The 22885-nt window shown below is 41.4% G+C and overlaps 1 protein-coding gene across 1 annotated transcript in view, besides 4 other annotated features; it reads left to right on the plus strand.

Moving 5' to 3' along the window:
* The window catches only part of UST (uronyl 2-sulfotransferase), a 329961-nt gene extending 310200 nt beyond the window's left edge, over positions 1 to 19761 (plus strand). Inside the window, exon 8 of the mRNA NM_005715.3 lies at positions 16604 to 19761. Coding sequence (NP_005706.1) covers positions 16604 to 16887 — 284 coding nt within the window. The 3' untranslated portion in view covers positions 16888 to 19761. The remainder of the gene's footprint in view (positions 1 to 16603) is intronic.
* Positions 8663 to 8742: an enhancer, noted in NCBI's record as "active region_25243". NCBI's record gives its function as "activates an Ori minimal core promoter by ATAC-STARR-seq in GM12878 lymphoblastoid cells {active_cell/tissue: GM12878}" and the evidence as "EXISTENCE:reporter gene assay evidence [ECO:0000049][PMID:35858748]".
* Positions 8763 to 9172: an enhancer, noted in NCBI's record as "active region_25244". NCBI's record gives its function as "activates an Ori minimal core promoter by ATAC-STARR-seq in GM12878 lymphoblastoid cells {active_cell/tissue: GM12878}" and the evidence as "EXISTENCE:reporter gene assay evidence [ECO:0000049][PMID:35858748]".
* Positions 15916 to 17115: an enhancer, noted in NCBI's record as "BRD4-independent group 4 enhancer chr6:149394281-149395480 (GRCh37/hg19 assembly coordinates)". NCBI's record gives its function as "activates an origin of replication core promoter dependent on BRD2, P300/CBP, MED14 and CDK7 cofactors, and independent of BRD4, by STARR-seq in HCT116 cells {active_cell/tissue: HCT116}" and the evidence as "EXISTENCE:reporter gene assay evidence [ECO:0000049][PMID:35650434]".
* Positions 22744 to 22863: an enhancer, noted in NCBI's record as "active region_25245". NCBI's record gives its function as "activates an Ori minimal core promoter by ATAC-STARR-seq in GM12878 lymphoblastoid cells {active_cell/tissue: GM12878}" and the evidence as "EXISTENCE:reporter gene assay evidence [ECO:0000049][PMID:35858748]".

Here is a 22885-nt window from a genome sequence, read left to right on the forward strand (position 1 = left end):
TGTAATTTGCTAAGAATTTCAAGTGCACTAAATGTTTTACGAGCAACCATACTCCCATATTAAGGGCACTGCTGTACTCCTTTACATTCTCAGAGTCAGGAGATGCAGGATTTTCAAAAGGCCCTGTGCATTTTGAAACTTTAGCAAGGTAGGTGATAGATTGATTTCATGTAACAATAAAATAAATGTCTTAAAGTTTCAGGATCTCTGACAATAGAAGATAAGTGGTATCTTAGAGTTGGCAGAATTGAAGACCTTATCAGCTATAAGAAGAAAAGTTACTGCTCAATATCTGAAGCTGCCATTGACCTTAGGGAAACAAGCAAAAAGGCACATGATCGCTTATGAACAAGGATGTGCATCTGATATTATTGAGTCATAGAAACAGAAAACCCAATCATCTAACAGTAGCAGATGGTTATATGACCTTTAAGGCATCTATAAAATGGAGCATATAAAAACACATTGCAAAATGTAATTGGTAATAATTAAAGATATAGGAGAAATGGTCATGGTTAGTTAAATTTTAAAGATGATAAAACTAAATAAACAATATAGCACAGATGTGTTTTACAATGAATAGGCATAAATAAGAAAAAGACTAGAAGGAAATGTACTACTACAGTAATAACTGTGGCTTGATTAAAAGTTATTTTATATTCTTGTTTTCCTAAGTTTCCTAAAAACTTTACTATGTATTTGCATATGTGTATATGTACATATAGGTAAGTATATACATATATCTGCACATCATGTATACATGTACATAGTATGTTTATATGGGTACATCACAATCAGAAAAATAAATGTTTATGTTTTAAATTATTTTTCTCCAAGAAATAAGGTTTAAAGCTCAAAGCTTATAAACTTCCCAAGGGCTTTCTGATGATCCTGTGTGGATCTAGATAGTAGCTTGATCTGTACGAAACCCCAGAGAAGAAAAAGTAATAGACCAACATGAAAAAATGAGACAAAGAACTGTCCTGTGGTCATATCACCATCTGTGGAGTGCCCAGAGTGACGGTGTCAGCAACTGGCTTTAACATCATCAGGGCTAGATGTAGGTAATGAAGTGTGATTTCAGGAGAGGGCCTCCTCCCTGCCAAAGGAGGAGCATGTGTGTGTGTGTGTGTGTGTGTGTGTGTGTGTGTGTGTGTGTATGTGCGCGCGCGTGTGTCTGTGTGTAAGAGAGGGAGAGAGAGAAGTACCCTAGGCCTGCAAATGCCACACAGACTATGAGGAGTAGAGAAAAAGAATCCTGTCCATAAAGCAAAAGCAGAGCTTATGAAATTGTCAGATACCAAAAGAATTTAGAACTGCTGCAATAGTATTTCTCTTGATCTTCTTTATCCAGATGAAAAACCAGTTTGATCAGGATATCCTTATCAGTCACTGGGTCTGGCCTTCATAATACGATTTCAAATAAAGTAACAAACGTAATAAAAACACATTTCTCAATACTTATATCAAATTAAAAGTATATTTTAAGAAAGAGATACATTTTGTTGATAAAGACATAGTAATTCTCCCAATAAGTTTTTTTTAGAAGTAGATATTTTTAAACAGAAATATCTGCTTCAATTGTTGTTGTGAAAATAAATCCTTCTTTTATTGCCATCCTCATATATAAGCCGGTATTTTAGTGGTAAAAACTGTGCTGAGGAAAACACACACGTAGCACATACTTTCAAACAAATTTTACCGTAGCACATACTTTCAAACAAATATGTATTTACCGTAGCACATACTTTCAAACAAATATGTCAGCTTTTTAATGGTCTGGGCCATGATGCCGAACTTGGGGAGAAAAGAAACATAGCAACTTGCCCTTCATTCGGTAAATACAGGCAGCAGGGAAAGCCAGGAAGCCAGAGCTGCTGACTTAGGGGGGTGGTTGTGGAGGGAACTGAAGCCACCCCAGGACTCATTACCCTCAGCGTGTGTGTCTGGGCCAGGAGGAGTTGAGCTTGGCCATCTCCTCCAGCCCTGTCATGTTCAAGTCTAGGCATTAGGATCTGAGGGTGAGGTTGGGAGGCTCCCACATCAACAGAAGCTGGGATGCTGATCAGCAACTCATGAACCGAAACCTCTACAAGTGTCGGGCCCTTCCGGTGATTTGTTGCACATTAAGTTTGTCCGGCAGGGTGTTCACCTGGCTCTGCAGAAGGACACGAAAGGTGGACATCTGCGGCCATCAATGCCACCTCCTTGTGATCCCCCTTTCTCTCCCTCCTGTGGTGCCCCACTGTGAGGAGCATCCTTCCCATCCGCAGTGAAACAGAGATCTCCAGATTGCCCAGGAAGTTGTTGGAAGGATTGCACATTTGCTTCTCCCTTTATTGTGTACTCCTTCTAGAAGAAAGAGCCTGTGTTTTTAGCTTTTATTTTATTTTATTTCTCTTATTTCCTGGAATCAAGCATTGAGCTTAGTCGGTGCTCAGTACAGCATTGATGACTAAGCAAAAAGAATCCAGGCAAGAAAATAACTAACTACCACCACCGCCCACCCCCGCTAGCAATTTCAGCAGATTCTGAGCATAAGTAGTGTGGAGTTGAATCCCCCAGGCAATAACCTAGAAGCCCCAGGCAATAACCTAGAAGCCCGTCCAACAGCTGCCCTCATCTCCAATTCCATGGGGTTAGGACCCGCCTCCGTGATGTTTCTGAAAATGCATTCCTCCTCCGGGCTGATTTCCATTCCACAGGGGCCCAGTGCCCTGGTCTTGGTGGGCCCTCAGCGACCTACCCCACACAGACCAATACTTTCTCTTCCTGGTTCCTTTTACTGTGTTCCCTGCTTCCAAAAATCCAAGCAAAGTGTGTGCATTAGAAACCCTTCATTCTCTTTCATCAAAGGAACCTAGCGGTTTCTGCATTTTTAAACAACAAGAAAGTAAATCATGAACTTTTACTTGGCTACATAGATCAAAGATTCTCTTGAAGGTCCAAGTGATCTCAAATTATTTTTAATTATTTATATTTCCAGATCTGAATAAAAGACTGCAAAACACACCCCAAAAGTTTTCTGTTTACTTTATCAACCCTCAGCACCAAGGCAGCCATGAAGTGCTTTTTGTTCTTTTCTCCCTTCATGGCCATACCACCAGGAAGGTGGTCTTAACATGCCATCGATCATATCTGAGTGGCAAATGTAGCGCTGGCCCGGCCAGCCCAGCACATATCGCTGTGAGCCGCAGTGACACACATTCATTTCCGCTGGAGGCAGCCCTAGGGAGTCCGGCGGCCCTGCAGCTGTATTTCATCTCTTTGAACTGTATGGCCTCCCCTATAATTCAGGAAATGAGTTTACTCTATCTGTGACAAGCATCATGTTCACACAGTTTTGGGAGCGGCCAGCGTGGTGCAGGGCTGTATGGGAATGGAGGTGGCAGGCGTTTGCCAACCCTGGGGAGTACACCGACGGTACTTCCTCTCCCACTGCCGAGTGCTCCACTTGACCGTGACTTTCGGCACACCTGTTGCCTGAGAAAGTGTGCTTTATCCCCGTGTGCTGGGAATCTCTGGCTGTAATCTAACCTGAGATGAGTAAGTCAGTTTCTTAGACAGGGCGCTTCTTAAAACAGCAAGGCCTCTCAGTTGATCACCACTCAGCTCCCCTGAAGCTGTAGAACTGGTGCCTGTCTTTTGTCCATGCTTATTTTTTTTCGCTGGTAAACTTTGGCCCCTCTTTTGGTTGTTATTAAACTAGTATTTGTTTGGTGCACATAATCTCTGCTGGACCAGGTTAAAACAAGTGCAGATTGTTAAGGGAAGAGGGCTCTGGTCAGCGCGGAGTGTGCATACACTCGGATCAAGGAAAGGAATGCCAGAGCCAGCCCAGCATCAAAATACACTGCAAGTTGGTGGTGAGCTTTTGTTATTTTGCGTATGGTTAACCATCTCGGAGGTCATAAAGCGAGGCCTCTGTCCTCCGGTGCAGCAGCTGGGTTTATACAGTATTTCCAGATTGTTTATTCTGGCCCAGAGCCAGGGCTACATCGTTTTTCCATTATGCATGTTTGACAGATGAAGAGAGGTGGGAAGTGGGACTCCCAGGAACAGGTCTGTGATTTCCTTTCTATTTACATTAAAGGGACTTTTAGGAGTACTGAAGATTATGAACCAGTTCAAACATATGTCAATGCAGCAGAGGTAGAGAAGCTGCTATGTTTGCAAAAAATGTTCAGATCTTGGGCAGTAAAACAAAATCAAAGCAAAATCTTGGGCAGTGAGCACATCGTGCTTGTCACTGCCCAGTCTTGCATGCAGACAGGTTACTGGCGAGTGATATTTATCATTCACATCCAGAAGTTAAGCTAGTGTTTGTTTGGCAGGGCATTGGGAGGAGCCCCTGAGTTGGCAAACCAGAATCTGTGTGCAATCCACTGACATATGCATTTCATGCAGATGGGTGTGCCTGGTGCCGGGCAGAGATGTGTTTCCAAGGTCCCAGTAGAACTTTTTCCCTGCAGCCTTTTCCCTGAGCCACCAGCTTTCTGTGGATACTCCCAAAAGCCCGGGCTAAGTTCTTCCACCAGGAAGTGTTCAAGACTGACCAAAGAGCCACAGTTCACATTGTATCCACAGCAAAGTCCTTGGCACATAGGTCAAATGGATGTGATTGAATGACTGTTTTCCTTCTAAATAAAACACTTTCATTTTGCTAATGGAGAAACATCACTAAAAAGTACCAAAAGTGATGGCAAATTAAGTAACTGACCAGCATTCATACAGCAAAGTCAGGTCACACAAATAAATGTCTTTTTACCCAACAGTGTTTGAATCTTCAGTTAATGGCTGGGGTAAATATCACACCCAGCACAAATTCATTAGCTGCAAGACGGTGGCTTCTACATAGCTATTTGTGTTTGTGGTGAACCTTCCTTATCATGGCATGTCTTAAGCTTGGCTAAGTATTTGCAAGCGTTCTGTCACCATAACATAATGTTCTTCAACAGAGTGGCTAAGAAAAGCAAATACCACTACCTCTCCAGAACAACCTGTGATCCAAACCTTCTCTGTCAGCCTACTATCCAGAAATTCAATTTCCAGAAATGGAAAGTTTGCTCAGGAAGGACCCTCAACTAAGGAAGGAATTTAGCTAAAAAGTGAAGTATGCATAGTCAACACTGAAAGTTGCCCTTTGGGTTAATCCAGTCTTGCAGATGGATTTAAAATACAGGTTTCAAATCAACAAACATTTATGGAGGGTGGTTAGGTGCCAGGCATGGAGCTGGACACTGGGGAACTAAAAATGAAAAAGACACAGTCCCTTTCAGTGTGAAAACATTTTTGCTGGCTTGCAAGTTTTTCACCAGATCCTCCCAGACTTACCAAAGCATTCCCCTCATCTTAGAACACTCAAGCCCTTCTTTTCAATGGATTCCCTGAATGCCAGAATACACACAGGGCAAGGAGAAGTGGGTGGTTATAGATTTCCACTCAATTTGGAAATTAACAGCCTGTGGTGTAGCAAAAAGGTGCAAGGCTGAGAATCAGAAAGCCCACTTTCCAGTGCTTGGACTGAAATGTCCTGGCTGTACAGCCTTGAGCTGGTCTTGTGACCTCTGGGGCCCTTGGTATCTGTAAGTAAAATGGGTACTGGGAAGATTGAGCAAGGTAGTGAGGGGCGATGTGAAAGCGCATTAATCCACAGAGCCCTATGAAAATGAGAGGGATGTGCTTCTCTGCAGGACTTGTATGAGAAGTTGCACTGTTCGGGCTACTATTTGTAAAGTTTTAATAATACAGAAAGCAGCCCCCTCCTGGCCTCATGCCAGGTTTTATTCTCTACCAACATTGGGTGGCCAACTACAGATTTTTATGTCACTGGGGGCCAGCTGTTAGAAGAATCTCCACTCAGGACCGTAACTACTCTGTAGTGTCCCTGCCACTCCCTCCCCAGGGACAGCGCAGAGCCTGGAAGTCTATCCCCCTGTGGCCCTGACTCTATGGCTGATTGGACATGTCTATAAAGAAAAAACAATCTCTATTGTGTTCTTTAAATAGAAAGCTCAAAGTTTGTTTTTTTACTTTGTTTTCCCTCTTCTGAACACTTCATAGCTCAAAACCAGTGCCTATTTTGAGGAAATTTTCAATAGTTATCATAAAATTAACTAAGGGAATTATTTGACCAATCCCTAAAGGTAATAAGAAAAAACTTTTTAAAAAAATATCAAAAACATCCTGAAGCCACAGCTTCTTTTTGCCAAAAAGTATTGATGAATTAAAGTAGAGAGGCAGAAAAATGTGCCTTGCCAGCACTATTGGTCCCAAAAGGCAACCAAACCACAAAGTTAAACACTGAAATGTACAGACCCCAGCCAGATGGGAGGGTAGACTGCTTCTCGCTAAGGACCCAGCATTTGTGGGTCTCCTAGGAATTTCTGTGAAACTCCTTCAGATACTGCCTTTGTGCCCAGCTGTCTGTCTCCATCTCACAGACACAGCCAAGCCTTCCTTGAATCTGACAGCACCCTCGTCCTTCTGATGGTTTCTTTTGTTCCCTCAAGAAGCCTGTACAGAGGAGAACTGTGTTTCCCCAGGTGCTGAGCTGTGGAAATACAAAGATAAATGGGGTATCGCTTTTGTCCTGATCACTCAGTATAAAAAGCCTCTTTGGAAGAACAGCTAAATGAAACCTGGTGGAGATGTTAAGAATAAAATCTAGAGAAAATTTTTTAGGAGGTGGATAGTGCCTCAGAGGCCTCCTAAAAGTTTTCCATCTCTTGATTGAAACACACACAGAATCTATACTCTCAGACGTGCACACACAGCACATACGGCAAATCTTCATGATCTTGTAGTAAGTATGAAAGACCCAACTCCATGCAGAGTATTTAAGATAAGCCCAATAAGCCTGGTCTCCCTGGTGAGGATTTCTGACCAAACAGAAGAAATGTTGACTCCAGCAAATGAATCAGAGTGAGATGCCCTCTCTGCCCCCATGGTGACAAGCCTTGTGAGCAGGCATCTCCCTTAGACTGTGAGCTCCATCCACTCGTCAGCAATGTGGAGAGTTAAGAACCTGGGCTCATTAGTCAGACTTCCCCACACCCAACTTCGGGCTTCACCACTTACCAGCTGTGTGAGCCTGCACAAACTTCTAAATTCCAATGCCACAGCTTTAAATGGTGATAATAAGAGACCTCTACAGCACTGGGAGCTTTATAAGGATTAAATGTGTGTTTAGATATCTTACAATTCTTGGCACAGAGAAAGCTCTCAAAGTGCCAACTGATGATGATGATGATGGTGATGATGATGATGCCCCATTCACTGCAACAATTCCTGTGCGTGGTGCAGAATAGCTATTCAACAAATCTTTGCAGAAAGAGGGAAGGAAGATGATATTGGGCACACCAGTGAGGCCTAATTGAAGCCTTGATTTTGACGAGAAGCACTTACTCTCTAGGTTTATGAAAGCCTGAATTTTAGAATCTTTAAAGCAGAAGCATAAAACTCGACTTTCTATAACAGCCAGTCAGGTAACATAAAAGAATGAACCGGCATTTAGAGTCTGAGGCAAACTGGAAAGCCCTGGCCTCTTTCACGGGGGCAGTCACACTTGGCTCCAGAAGAATGTAGCCGCCCTTTGAGAAAAGCCAGAAATCCAGCTTTCCATGTGAAATAGACCAAGCCTTACAACAACTGAATCCATTTCTAAAAAAAAAAAAATACCCCACGGGCCAAACAACACATTGCCTGCCAGTCCGATCTTGGGCTGCCTTTTTGCCACCCTGTCTTAAAGGGAGGAGCTCTGTATTCGTCTCTTTCTTTTAAAATGTTTATCAGTGGGCACAAGAGACATGAGCCCCTTGAAGTTACTCTCAGTTCCTGCTAGGATCAGAGAACGCTCATGGAGTGAGGTCTTCACTTCTTCATGGTTAATCCGACAGTATGTGCTCACCTAACGAGGGCTTCTTCCCTTCCCAAGGAATGCTACTAATAAGTATAGATTTTTAAAGCATAATTGTTTTGTGGCTGAAATAACAACAATTATTTGAAAAAAAATCCTAACAACTTCCTCTAGAGCTGCTATTATGGCAGTCTGGAGAGAGGCTGATTCCATAGTCCATGTAGCTTTGTTTTGTTTGGATGGAAAGTCTGGCATTTTACAAAAATGTGGAAAACTTAGCAATGGAATGACTTTTCCATAGCACCGATTATCGTACAGCAAGACACACATCCATATGTCTTTGAAATGAGATTTTTAAGAATTCTCTGCTTATTATACAAGACAAACCACCTCTGGTCTTTCCATATGAAGGTGATAGTTTTCTACAGGCTCATGAAAGCTGCCCTGGTTATGGTGCAGTACTTAAAGTTAGGGAAAAATCTCAACATAGATGGGGACCCAGATTCAAATTCGTTTTTTCACTTACCAGCCAGCTATGTGACCTTGGGTAAGTTTCTATTTCTCCATCTGCAAAAGAGGGGTCATGATATTCACCTCACAGGGTTATTGAGAATATCAAATAAAATAATGTATATGATGATCCAAACTCATAATGGGTGTTCCCCATCAATATTGGTTGAATCTGAGTCTCTGTTTCTCCTGGCACAAAATAGCACTCCTGTTTCTGACCGCGACATAACCCTCTGGCAATGTCATTAACCTTATTAAATTTGGCAGCTCTGTGGAAAACGAAGGTCAAAAAAGCTGTCATTGTTTATATAAACTGTTCATTTTGTTGTTCACAGTGCTATGAGGACTAAAGGATAGAGGGTTGGATGCTGCCACCCAGGGAGTAACCAGGGAGAAGGGAAGAGGCTGGAACAGAGCCTGAGGAGGACTGGTCTTTATAAGACAGGCTGGGAAAGAGGAGGGCGTAGAGAAGATGGAAAGGGAGTGATCAGAGAGAGGTGAGGGTGCCAGGAAAACACTGTTGCAGATGCAGGGGTTTCAAAATGGAGTGTGTGGCCCACAGTGTGATGGGGTCATGCTGTGAGGCGCCCTCTGAGCTACCAACAAGGAAGCGAGAGTAACTGAATGGAGTACAGAAGGAACAGAAAGCAGGTTTTGGTGAGTTCAGTCACGTACGTAAGCTGAAAATGTTACAACAAATGTAGACAGCTCTTCAGGAAGTTGGGCTGTGATGGGGAGGAGAGAGAAAAGATGAAAGAGGGAGGGTGCATGAGACAAGGGTTTTTTCAAGAAGGGAAGTGAGTTTTGATGGCAAGGAGCCAGTTGAGAGGGAGAGGTTGACAATGAAGAAGAGGGGGTGGATGAGGGAGAGAAGGAAACTCCAAGGAGGCAGGGTGGGTAGACAAATGAAGCAAGAATTGGATATTAATGCAAAACTAGAGCTTGGGGAAACATTAGATCCCATAAGAATCTGCCAAACCAGCTGATACTGACCCTCATGTTTAGACGGGGGATTTAGGGAGGGATTAAGAAGAGTAAGGAAGACTGAAGTAACTGAAATACACGAGACAATCTGTTGTTATTGGAGGGGTAACAGGAAAAGCTTCTCCTCCACCCTCTGAAGCTTACTTGAAAATGAACTTACAATAGGCAGATTAACAGGAAAAAAAGGAATAAAATTTATTAATATGCATGAAACTGAGCATGGTAGCTCACTCCTGTAGTCCCAAATACTCAGGAGGTTGAGGGGAGGATCGCTTGAGCCCAGGAGTTTGAGGCTGCAGTGAGCCACCACTGCACTCTAGCCTGGGCAACAGAGCAAGACCCTACCTCTTAAAAATAAAATGCTACACAGGAGAAAATCACAGGAGAGTGGTTACCTCATAACCCAGGGAGGTCCAGCTTTTTTCTATACCTTTCTTCATAGGGAAAGGGGAAATGGAGGTTAAATGTGGCAATTTTGAAGAGTAGTAAATGATATTTAAGGGGAATGAATGGGCCCAATGCTCAGACAATGGAAGGTAAATAATTCTCTTTGGGAACTGAATGGGACCCAAGAACAGGCAATAGTTTGGGACAACGTTCATCTGAGCTCTGAGTGTGGTGTTTAATCTTCAGTCCCTTCCTCTGTGACATGAGTTTTGATCTTCTCTGATTAATGAAATTTTAGGGGAGGTGACTGAAGGCAATTTTGTTCCTCTTTGGCAGGTCCAATTTCTAGGTAGATAAGGGAACTTCAGAGAACAGCTTCATCCAGGATGTACTGGTCTCCAATGGCCTTCAATTTGAAATATCGCCATACCAAGTTGCCATATTTGGCGGTCACCCTCCCTGGATCCTTAACTATTCAAGAAAGGATCTTTTAAAGCTCTTGCCTTGTAGCCAAACATGAAAAAGTCCCCCTTCCCTCTTGTCTTAAAAGTCTGTCCTCTCTGTGGAGTGTTCTAGCAAACATAGGGCTGGGCCTCCTCATGTTCTGACTAGCACTATCAAATAGCCAAAGCACTTTTGTCAGGCTGGTAAGGTGACATGCAATTAAAATTTGGTTGGAAAGGCTACCTGGGATCTTATCAAATATCAATCTTATTAAAGACCTCTCATTACTGTATAAAAGTTGGATAAGATATGTCAATGTAGGGGGCTCTGAGTGAAATCATAAGAGCCAGTACTTTCCAGTCATAGAGTCGATGGAGTGCACTGGGATTTTAGATGCTGGTTATCACCAGAAGTCTGTCGTTTTCCGAACATGGTAAATACTAGGTCAATTTCTGCCTGGGATAGAATGTTTCCTACTGGAAACACAAAATTACAAGTTTAATCTAAATAAACCACCAGGACGCAGTTTTACCTCTCAGGTGGAACTCTGCAAATAGTGGTTGTTGGGGTGGTTTTCATCACTGACTCTGAGTATTGGACCCAGAGATGATCGTGCCCAATTTTTTTTTAATCGGCCCTTTTCTCCTCCCAAACTATAAAGCCATTAGCCATTCCCTCCAAAACACCTGCCAGTTTCCTGTGAGATCGGTTGTTAAGTTTGGGTGCCTCAGTCAGCAGGAGGAGTAGTAGGCTCTAGGCCTGGACATTGACCATTATGCTCTACCACACTGTGAAGAAAGGTGTGAGAAGCAGTAATAGCCCTCTCACCTGTCCACACCAAGAAACAACACAGCAAAAGCACAGCAGCTGATTGTCATGAGGAGCCTCCTACCTCTGCCACTTTCTGGCTGCATGACCTTGAATGAGTTATAGCCTTGGCCTCAGTTTCCTCATGTATAAAATGGCTCTTCCATCAAGGGGTTATTGTGAGGATTAAGTATGATTGTGTGTACAAGTGCTTAGCTCAGTGCTTGCTACACATTAGTTCCCATTAACTGTAGCTGTTACTATAAAAATATACCACAAAGCATTAGGCTCAGCCAGGACTGTCACCATCTCGCACCATATCAGTTAACTAATCGTGCAAATATGTCCTGGTTCTTTTCACTTGTACTTGAAGGACACAATATCACATTTTATTGATGTATAATATTTTACATATTTATGGGATATGTATGATATTTTTTTCCATGCATAGAATGTGCAATGATCAAATCAGGGTGTTTAGGGTATCCATCACCTTGAGTATTTATCATTTCTATGTGTTAGGAACATTTGAATTTTTTTTTCTAGCTACTTTGAAACATACAATACATTGTTGCTAACTATAGTCACCCTACTCTGCTATGGAGCATGAGAACTTACATCTTCTATATAACTGTACATTTGTACCCATTAACCAACCTCTCTTCAGCCCGCTCTCCAACCCAGACATCCTTCCCAGCCTCTGGTATGTATCATCCTACTCCCTCCTTGTGGTCAACTTCTTTAGCTCCCATATATGAGTGAAAATACACGATCTTTGTCTTTCTGTGCCTAGATTATTTCATTTAACATGATGACCTCCAGTTCCATCCATGTTGATGCAAATGACATGATTTCTTTCTTTTTTATGGCCAAATAGTATTCCATTGTGTATAATACCACATTTTCTTCATTCATTCATTGATGGACACAGGTTGATTCCATATCTTTACCACTGCGAATATTACTACAGTAAACACGTGAGCATGCAAGTGCAGGTATCCCTTTGATATGTTGATTTCATTTCCTTTGGATAGATACATAGTAGAAGGGTTGCTGGATCATGGTAGTTCTATTTTTAGTTTTTTGAGAACTCTCCATACTGTTTACCATAGTGGCTGTTCTAATTGGCATTCCCACCAACAGTGTATAAGAGTTCCCTTTTCTCCACATCCTCACCAGCATCTGTTATTTATTGGCTTTTAATAATAGCTATTCTAACTGGAGTAAGATGATAGCTCATTGTGGTTTTGATTTGCATTTCCTTGATGATTAGCATGTTGAGTTTTTTCATATACCTCTTGGCCATTTGTATGTCTTATTTTGAGAAATGTCTATTCGGAAGGATATAATGTCACTTTTGACAGAGTTATTTACCTGCTCTGCCCATCCACCAACTCCCCCATCCTAACCATAGAGGAAGGCATTCAGGGAAGAGAGTTTTATTGTCATGAACTAGGAGTAACCTTATGGCAGTTGACCCAGTCACCTAATCGTAATCAAAGAAAGAAATGTATAAACCCATTATGCTGTAACTTTAAAGAATATTCCCAAAGTTTTTCTGGCCTGAAATTAATAACCATTTATATAGCAAATCAACTCAATCCATTATATAGACCAACATTTTGCAAGTGATTGAAGACTAGTAAAATGTGATTGGTATTTCTCAGATAGTTTTGTAGTCAAGGTATTTATATGATTACACTTGCTGTCCATTGTTTTTAGGAAATTACTGTTTCAACCTTACGACAAAGAGCTTTGAGGCTGTGAAATAGAACAGATTTCCAAATTACTTCTTTACAAGGATCTAGGCTCCCTTTTGCTTATCCCCTTGGATCCTTTGCCAGGTTGGGCCAAATAATTTAAGTAATGAATTTATTTTAAATCACAGGAGTCTTACTTTTTTGTGTATCAGATAACAAAACCCTACACAATGTATAGTGCTCTAAGAGGAAGGGATTGAAGGAGGCTTTCAATGAGAGAATTATTTTTCCTCTGCCTCTCAATGTTTGACTTAAAACTCTTTATTTCTTGTCTGTCTTTCATAAGATTTTTTAGCTCTGTTTTAAAAAACAAAAAGGAACACCTAAGACCTGTGAACAATGACCCGCCCCAGATTAGCTAGAGTTCATATCTTCAGAGAAGACAGATATTATAAAATGTTCTGTTAGGAACCCATTTCAGAAGAGTCTATGCCAAGTTATTTAACAGAAATTCTAGAGTGTTCAATGTGTGTTATGTTTTTAATTTCAATGAAGACCATGTTATCTATTTACAAGGATCTAGGCTCCCCTGTGCAAAGGACCCAACCTGGCAAAGGACTTTCAAAAGAGTCAGTTTGAAAAGTAATACCCTTATTCAATGAGGCTGTTGGCCACATAGAGAATTTATTTATTTTTTATTTTAATTAATACCTAATGGGGTACATGAGATGTTTTGATACAGGCATGCAATGCATAATAATCTCATCATGGAGAATGGGGTATCCATCCCCTCAAGCATTTATCCTTTGCATTACAAACAATCCAGTTATGCTCTTTTAGTTATTTTATTATTATTATTATTAATTTTAGACAGAGTCTCGCTCTGTCGCCAGGCTGGAGTGCAGTGGCGCAATCTCAGCTCACTGCAACCTCTGCCTCCCGGGTTCAAGCAATTCTCCTGCCTCAGGCTCCCGAGTAGCTGGGACTACAGGTGCATGCCACCACGCCCAGCTAATTTGTGTATTTTTAGTAGAGACAGGGTTTCACCATGTTGGCCTGGATGGTCTCGATCTCTTGGCCTCGTGATCCACCTGCCTCGTCCTCCCAAAGTGCTGGGATTACAGGCATGAGCCACCATACCCGGCTCTTTTAGTTATTTTTAAATGTACAATTAAATTATTATTGGCTATAGTCACCCTGTTGTGCTATCAAATAATAGGTCTTATTCATTTTTCAATTTTTTTTGTACCTATGAACCATCCCCACCTGTCCCCAATCCCCCACTACCCTTCTTAGCCTCTACATAGAGAATTTTTCAAATTCCTTCTTTAGAATTGCTACTGAAGGCTTCAGAAGGTACCTCAAATATCCTAAAAATTGGGAAGTCTATGTCCTTTCAGATGAGTCTGATTTTGGAAATAGCCATTTGGAACTGTATTTAGTAAATTATATACCTATTCAAATTTGTTGACAAAAATTTTAGTCAAAAGCAAGATTATAAAAGAAAATGTGAGGGCAAATCTTCATGACCTTGGATTTGGCAATGGCTTCTTTAATATGACACCAAAAGACAGGCAATAAGAAGAAAACAGATAAAATGGTCTCCATTACAATTAAAAACTTCTATATGTCAACCTTGGATTTGGCAATTTTTTTTAATGTGACACCAAAAGTCAGGCAATATGAGAAAAATGGATAAAATAGTCTTCATTAAAATTAAAAACTTTTATGCATCAAAGAACACTATCAACAGAGTGAAAAGACAGCCTGTGGAATGGAAGAAAATATTTGTAAATTATATACCTGATATATGTGCAGATTATCTAAAATATGTAAATAACTCCTTCAACTCAACAATAAAAACAAACAAAAGCAAACAAAAAAAAACCCCACTTCAAAAATGGGCAAAGGACTTGAATAGACATTTCTCTAAAGAAGATATACAAACAAACAGCATTTGTTGGACACATGCTTGTCAAAAAGCACATGAAAAGGTCATTAGAAATTAGGGAAACCATTAGCATCAGCATCACTACAGGAGTCATTAGGGAAATGCAAATCAAAACCACAGTGAGATACCACTCCACACTTACTGGGATGGCTACAATTTTAAAAAGGGAGGAAAATAACAATCGTAGGAGAGAATTCGAAGAAATTGGAACCTTCACACATTGCTGGTAGGAATGTAAAATGGTGCAAACACTGTGGAAAATAATTTGGCAGTTCTTCAAAACATTAAACTTAGAATTACCGCATGACCCAGCAATTCTGCTCCTAGGCATATACCCAAAATAAGTGGAAACAGGGACTCAGATACTAGAATGCAAATGTTCATTATAATAAGCAAAAGATGGAAACAACCCAAGTGTCTCTCCAAGGATGAAAGGATAAACAAATTGCGTTCTATCTATACAATGGAATGTTATTCAACCTTAAAAGGAATGAAGTTCTGGGCCAGGCATGGTGGCTCACACCTGTAATACCAGCACTTTGGGAGGCCGAGGCAGGTGGATCACCTGAGGTCGGGAATTCGAGACCAGCCTGACCAACATGGAGAAACCCCATCTCTACTAAAAATACAAAATTAGCCAGGCATGGTGGTGCATGCCTGTAATCTCAGCTACTCAGGAGGCTGAGGCAGGAGAATCACTTGAACCCGGGAGGTAGAGGTTGTAGTGAGCCAAGATTGCGCCATTGCACTCCAGCCTGGACAACAAGAGCAAAACTCCATCTCAAAAAAAAAAAAAAAGGAATGAAGCTCTGATACACACTACAACATGGAAGAACCTTGAAAACATGCTTAGTGAAATAAGCTAGACAAAAAAAGGACAAATATTGTATGATTCCACCTACATGAAGTACTGAGAATAGGCAAATTCATAAAGATAGAACATGGATTAGAGGTTCTATCTAATCGATGGGGTAAGTAGGGTGGGGTAAGGAAAGGAAAGGAATTGGGAGTTATTGTTTAATGGATATCAAGTTTTTGTATAGACTCATGAAAGGATTTTTAAAACAGTGGTGATGGTTGCACAACACTGTAAATATAATTAATGCCACTGAAGTGTACACTTAAAAATAGTTAAAATTGTACACTCTATATATAACATTTTCATGCTATTCAGCAATGAATATAAAATATATTTTGTTATTAAGCATTAGTATAAAATTAAGCATATTTTAGTTGTATATATTTTACCACAATAAAAAATTTAAAATTTACAAGGGTTAAAATTATATTTAGACTGGGTGCAGTGGCTCGTGCCATAATCCCAGCACTTTGGGATGCCAAGGCAGAAGGATCTCTTGATGCCGAGACCAGTCTGGGTACATGGTGAGAACCTGTCTCTACAAAAAATAAAAATAAATTTTAAAAATTTGTAAATTATACTTAAGAAATCTGGCAGCCCTTCCTTTCCTTTTCTGGACAAATGCATTGTTGAAATAGTAAAATGGAAATGGATTTTGTATCAAATTAAACTTTATGTCAATATTTTAAAACTTACAAAACAAGATTATTAGAAAGTGGTTAGACAGCTCTTCCATGCCTCCTTCTGAGGGTAAAGCCCTTTTCTGGTGTATCAAGAAATAAAAGAGGGAAAATGGATAGATTCTGCTGTTCAAAAGAATGTAGAACTCAGAGTTAACAATTGAATTTGGTCCAATCGCATGGTTCACATCTGATGAAAGGAAATTTGATAGCTTGTGCTTCGTCAACTCATGTTGACATTAACACCTAGAGTTGGTAAGTGTTTCCAAATATTGTCAGGAACCCTTCTTCTCTTCTAATACTTGGATATGCAGTTGCTTCCTTAGGTGCTACCAGAGTTGTACAGGTAATGTGGGTCCTCGCCGGGATCCCTTCTAAGCTACTGCAAATGATGGCTCATGTGCGACCCCGGTTCTCTTCCAGAGCACAGGAAGCTTGGAAACATGACTGTGACGGTGAAGAAGACTGTCCCCTCTCCTGAGGCTGTGCAGATCCTCTACCAGCGGATGAGATACGAGTACGAGTTTTACCACTACGTCAAAGAGCAGTTCCACCTGCTGAAGCGCAAGTTTGGACTTAAGTCTCACGTCAGCAAGCCCCCCCTGAGGCCACACTTCTTTATCCCAACTCCACTGGAAACCGAGGAGCCAATCGACGATGAAGAACAGGATGATGAAAAGTGGCTGGAAGATATTTATAAGAGGTGATGTGACTGTGTTGCCTCTATGGCTTTATCTCCCTTTTCCAGAAAGTTCTTTGTTTGGGGAAGTAAAATCCTTAAGGGACTAAATTAATGCTTGGGTGCATTAAAAAGAACAAAACATTCCCACATGTTGGGGTCATTGGGAGATGCCCGGTTTTGCGGGTTTTATTTGTTTAATTTTATTCTGTGTTTTCTCTTGGCTCTTTGGGTCTTTCCCGGGTACACTAGATGGCTCCATCCCAAGGCATCTTGTCATAAAACAGCTTTCCCCCACCCCATATCATGGGAAAAGGGGGAGAAATATAGCCCCTAGCCTAATAACTTATCATTTGTAAAATGACTTATAAAAATATTACCTCAATGGTAGGAGACATCCAGACTTGTATATTTCAGTGGAAATACAAAACCACTTCAGAGACCAGGGTATCTCCTCTGGAAGGATCTAAGAGAAGGTAAGACAGATTAGGACATCGAAAAGGAGGATGGAGCCAGGTGCCATGGCTTGAGCCTATAATCCGAGGCTGAGGTGGGAGGATCACTTGAGCCCAGGAGTTTGAGGTTGCAGTGAGCTGTGATCACACCACTGCACTCCAGCCTGGGTGACAGAGTGAGACTCTGTCTCAATTAATTTTTTTTTTTTAAAGGAGGAGGATCTCCATGGGTAAGTGGTTTCTACCCGCATGGGTAGAGTTCTGCCTCTGGTCCTTCTCAGGGGGCACTTTCACCAAGAGCAGTGTAATTATCTCTGAAAGAGCAAGTCAGCTTGTGCCGCATCCCCAACCAATCCACAGCCTGGAGTACCTTTCAAGGTCAAAGTGCATGGCCAGCTCCATTGAGACATTCCATTTCAAAGCACCGTGCTGACAGATATCAAAGTACTCTAGCAGGGAAAATAATTTGTTTGCTGTGTAAGGAAGAATGTAGACAAGACAGATAAATCTGAAGGTCATGTGGCATCAGGGAAAGGGCATGGCTGTGTCTTTTGCACCCAATATGAAACATCTTCTCCCAACACTGCTTTAATGGAAGTTCTAGGAACCAATTTAGCTCAGGCATTTGACTCCTACAGCAGAAGTTCTGAGCCTGACCACAGATGGTGTGTAATCTATCAAACACACCCCTGGCCAAGTTGGGTCCTATAGGACCTGGTACTATGTACTATTGTAACTTCTAGTTCCCTAAGAGGTACCTGTTTTCAGTAAAAAGGGGTCCTGAGTTCTGTGCAGGTGGAAGAGCTACCCGAGAACTACCTGAGTTCTGTGCAGGTAGAGTCCCATTTCTTATGGGACCTGTGTGCTCCTGAGAACTCTTACTTGAGACATCAAAAAGAAGCAGCAAGAGCTTCTGGGACAGAGACTGCTTGGCCAGCTTTGTAAGTAAGTGGCTGCCTCCAATGTGATGTGAGTACATGTTGGGCAGTCTCACTGTCCTAAGGTATGTCTTCTTTCCACCTCCCACTGCCCCTCCCCTGCCACCTATCAATGATGCCTTGGTTCAGTCATTAGAAATCTGTTGCTTTGAGTTCTGAAATATTTTCACCTTAAAAAAAATGCTGAAAATACACATTCTCCTGGGAAGACGATAAACAGCTAGCTAAGAAGCCGAGGTTCAGTGGTGGCAGCAGGAAGGACACTGCCACAAATTTTGTCTATTTCATATTTGTCCCCTAGAGCCAGCCCTAGCAAATGTGTGAGTTGGGAGTAGTTAATAGTAAATAAGACTCTGACTTTACACAAGCTACACATTTTATACTTTTCATAAACCACAAAGTCTCTCTAGAATTTTTTCTGCCTTCACTAAAATTGGACTGTAGCCAAGATATAAAGCAAGTCATTTGGAACCTGCCGAGTGAGCACTGAAGCTACTTTATCATGAGATGTGTGTTAAGAAGGCTGCAGCCCACAGGAGTCCAGGGAAGGCGGGGACCACAGAGGCACAGAGTCCAGCACTTGGCCGCTCATGGGCCTTCTTTCTGCCTCAGAGGACGGGGGCAGAGAAGTGATGAAGGGAAATGTTCTTAGAGGAGGAAATATCCTTTGTCCTGTTCAGAGAGACCAGGGCCCTACCATTAGGCATACTTTCAGAAGCAACCTGGAGAACAGCTATCAATCATATTCAAAACCAGTACAAGAACTGCTGCCTGGTACCCTGTGAGTCATTTCTATGAAATTCCATATAAAGAATGATGATAAGTTTACACACTGTGCAATCTCACAATCTGAAAATAAAGTTGAGTTGGCTGTGTTTTCTCTGCTCTTGTCAGAACATTGGGACAATTGGTCGTTCAAAAACATTCATCCTCTTACTGCAAGTTTATCTGGGTACTTTTACCTGTGTGTTCAAAGGCATTTCTTTTCAGCAGTGATCATTATAACTTCACAAAAAAAGATGCTGACGGATTTACTTACAGGGCCTTAATGTTATTTTGTCCCAGCCAACACCCTCTAGGTCCTAAAAGTCAAGGTACTTCAGTTTATTTGGCAAACATGACAACATTTTTTTTGGCCCTGGGCCCAACAGTTTGTACTTCATGAAACATATTGTACATTTTACATAGTTTAATTTAAAAAATACCTTTTAAGCTAGTTGATCTTTGACTGTCTTATTTATTATAACCTTTCAGCACATTCCAAGGTTTTAGTTACTCAGGAAGGAGTTAATTAAAATGATTTTATTTTGGTCTGATGGATGTTTTTTAAAAGGAAAATTATTATTATGAACCTTCAGCCTACTTTCTTGAGTGCCGTAAAAGTGCTTGTAAATCTTTTTTTTTTTTTAAGAAGAAAGAAAAAAATGGTGTTTGACGTTGATGGAAATTCAAAAATATATATGGAACTGAAACATTAACTTAGCTAAAATAAAAGCAATCTGTGTTTGAGATGAAGCATTCCTTAACTTATTCATCACCCATATAAATAAATAAATATAAATAAGTTGACATATTTCTTCCATCCTGTTGACAGCTGGAAATAAAAGTGCCTGCAGTTCCTCCCCTCAGCCTTCTTAATTGGCCAAGCTTTTTTCCTCAAGATGGGATTTTGAAAAGCTGTATTTTAAAAAGTGTATCAATTTTCATTCGTGTAATTATATGACAGCAAAAAAAAGGGGGCTGATAAAATGAACTAGTCATTTACTCATGTTGTTGCATATTTTAAAAAGCAAACAGGTGATTTTATCAGTATTTCCACGGTTGGTTTCATGTCGGGGTGCTACATCTGAATCATCTGTCTCTGTTATCCAGCATCTACGGGGCATGTCTACCGTCAGATAGGAAAGGAAGGATGTGCCCCAATTCTCAGTGTCTACGATGATCTGTTTCTCAGACATGCAGCACTTCAAAACCTGGACCACTCTAAGCTCTCAAGTGAGTAGTCTTGATCTGGAAACACCGTTCTTGGGAAATTTCACTGCTGTGGTCAAATGGAGCTTACAAAGAGAAACAAACTATGCTCCCTGTGTGTCTGATGCTACATTCCAATTACATGTGACTGTTATATAAAAGAATCAGAATGCTGATACGAAAGGAAAGAAAAATCCACTTTGGTAATGGTATGCTTTATTTCAAGTAAGAATATGAGAATCTTAAACAGCAGGTGATAAGTGGTGACCTTTGTTCATCATTTTGTTTGTCCTTCTGTAACTCAATCAAATGATGTTTGACTCAATCAACTTTAGAGCCAAAAATACTCAAGAAAAACTGGACCGTGCCATATCTGGGGTTGCTTGTGTGGTCTGAAGTTCTTTATACATGTGCCATCACCTGCGGGTTTATCCAATGAGCTATTTGGCCTTTAATGAATTTTATAGATAATGACAGTATTTCTTAAAAGGCAGGATGACAGCCGAGCGCGGTGGCTTATGCCTGTAATCCCAGCACTTTGGGAGGCCGAGGCGTGCGGATCACGAGGTCCAGAGATTGAGACAGTCCTGGCTAACACAGTGAAACCCCGTCTCTACTAAAAATACAAAAAATTAGCTGGGTGTGGTGGCATGCGCCTGCAGTCCCAGTCACTCAGTAGGCTGAGGCAGGAGAATCACTTGAACCTGGAAGGCAGAGGTTGCAGTGAGCCGAGATCATGCCACTGTACTCCAGCCTGGGTGACAGAGCGAGACTCCGTCAAAAAAAAAAAAAAAGAAACAAAAAAAAAGCAGGATGACAATCCATAGCTATTAAGAAAAATAGCCCTCTGGGTCAAAATTGTGAAACCCCCTTCAAGTAAAGATAAAGAGGAGTTATTTTACTAACACGGCTTATTTCACATCAGATGATAAAGAAATCTGTAAAAAATAAACAAACATAATGTTTTAAATATCCTGCTACAGAAAAGTCTTTTTTGGGCTAAAACCAAAAATCCAAGTCTGTTAAGAAAAACACACAGAACTTCTTTCACAGCCCAGCACATTCATTGTGATATCATGTGGTGTTAGTCGGCTAGGCCTACCGTAACAAAGTGCTGCGGACTGGTTGCCTTAAACAACAGAAGTGTATTGTCCCATAGTTCTGGAGGCTGGAAGTCCGAGATTGAAGTGCTGGCAGGGTTGGTTCCTCCTGAGGCCTCTCTCCTGGGCTTGCAGAGGGCACCTTATCCCTGCATCCTCCCGTGTCCTTCCCCCGTGCCTGTCTGTGTCTTGATCTCTTCTTCTAAGGACCGCAATCATATTGGATTAGGGCTCACTCTAATGACCTCATTTTAACTTAATGACTTCGTTTAAGACCCTAATATGGTTTGGCTGTGTCCCCACCCAAATCTCATATTGAATTGTAGTTCCCATAATCCCCACATGTGAAAGGGACCCGGTGATGGATAATTGAATCATGGGGGTGGTTACCCCCATGCTATTGTTCTCGTGATAGTGAGTTCTCATGACATCTGATGGTTTTATAAGGGGCTTTTCCCCTTTTGCTGGGCGCTTCTTCTTGCTGCTGCCACCATGTGAAGAAGGACATGTTTGCTTCCCCTTCTGCCATTATTGTAAGTTTCCTGAGGCCTCTCCAACCATGCTGAACAGTGAATCAATCAAACCTCTTTCCTTTATTAATTATCCAGTCTTGGGTATGTCTTAATATTAGCAGTGTGAAAACAGACTAATACAGATCCTATTTCCAAAAATGCTCACATTCTGAGATACTTGGTTAAGACTTTCATATATGAATTTGTGGGGGACACACAATTCAGCCCATAACACCCAGACTATAGCAGAAAAGTTAGGGCAGAGGAACTGAATTCCTACTAGGAGAGAAGCAAGCCTCAAAGTGCAGATTCCTATAGTTGCATTGGGGCTCTGGAGCAGTGATCTGGTCCATTCCCTCATTTTACAGACAAGGAAAACCAAGGTCCAAAGAGGAGACACAAATATGTCACATGCTAACTTTGCCCATTGAGGGTTCCCTTAACTTTTGAAGCAGCTACCAAATTAAAACTTTAAAAAGATGATATAGCCAAAGCCCATCTACAGACCTAGGATCCAGAATGAAAGTGATGAGGCACTTTCAGCCACACCCACTGCCACCTGCTGTACTGGAGCAGCCTCACCATAGGGCTCTCCTGGGAGCCGGGGCTTTGGAACTCGCCTTTCCACAGAGGGAGGGGAGGCCCTATTGGTTTTCAGTCACTGAAGTCCTCAGAGACAAATCCCAAATAAATATTTTATTTTTAATTTTTCTGTCTGCTCAAAAGACACAGAGAGGTTCTTGTTCCTTGGTAAACAGACTTGGAGCATGTTTGCCCATCTCAGATTACAGAGTTTTATTTCTCTTAAAGGCAAAATGAAGATTCTTGTCCTACTTCCTGTAACGAGTTTCAGATGGACCCACCTCCAAAAATATAGTCAAAATGCAGTTCATAAAACTAGGGGAAGTCAAGTACAGACATGTCCCAGGAAAGCAGAACCAGAGGAGAAGCAGACCCCGGGCACTCGCAGGACTATTTGACTCACTGGAGAATTCCCTTCTGCCAGGGCAGGCTTGGCTCACTGCTCCAAGCACTGCAGATTCCCAAGGA

The sequence above is a fragment of the Homo sapiens genome, chromosome 6 (assembly GCF_000001405.40).
Source record: "Homo sapiens chromosome 6, GRCh38.p14 Primary Assembly".
In the NCBI taxonomy this organism is placed as follows: Eukaryota; Metazoa; Chordata; class Mammalia; order Primates; family Hominidae; genus Homo; species Homo sapiens.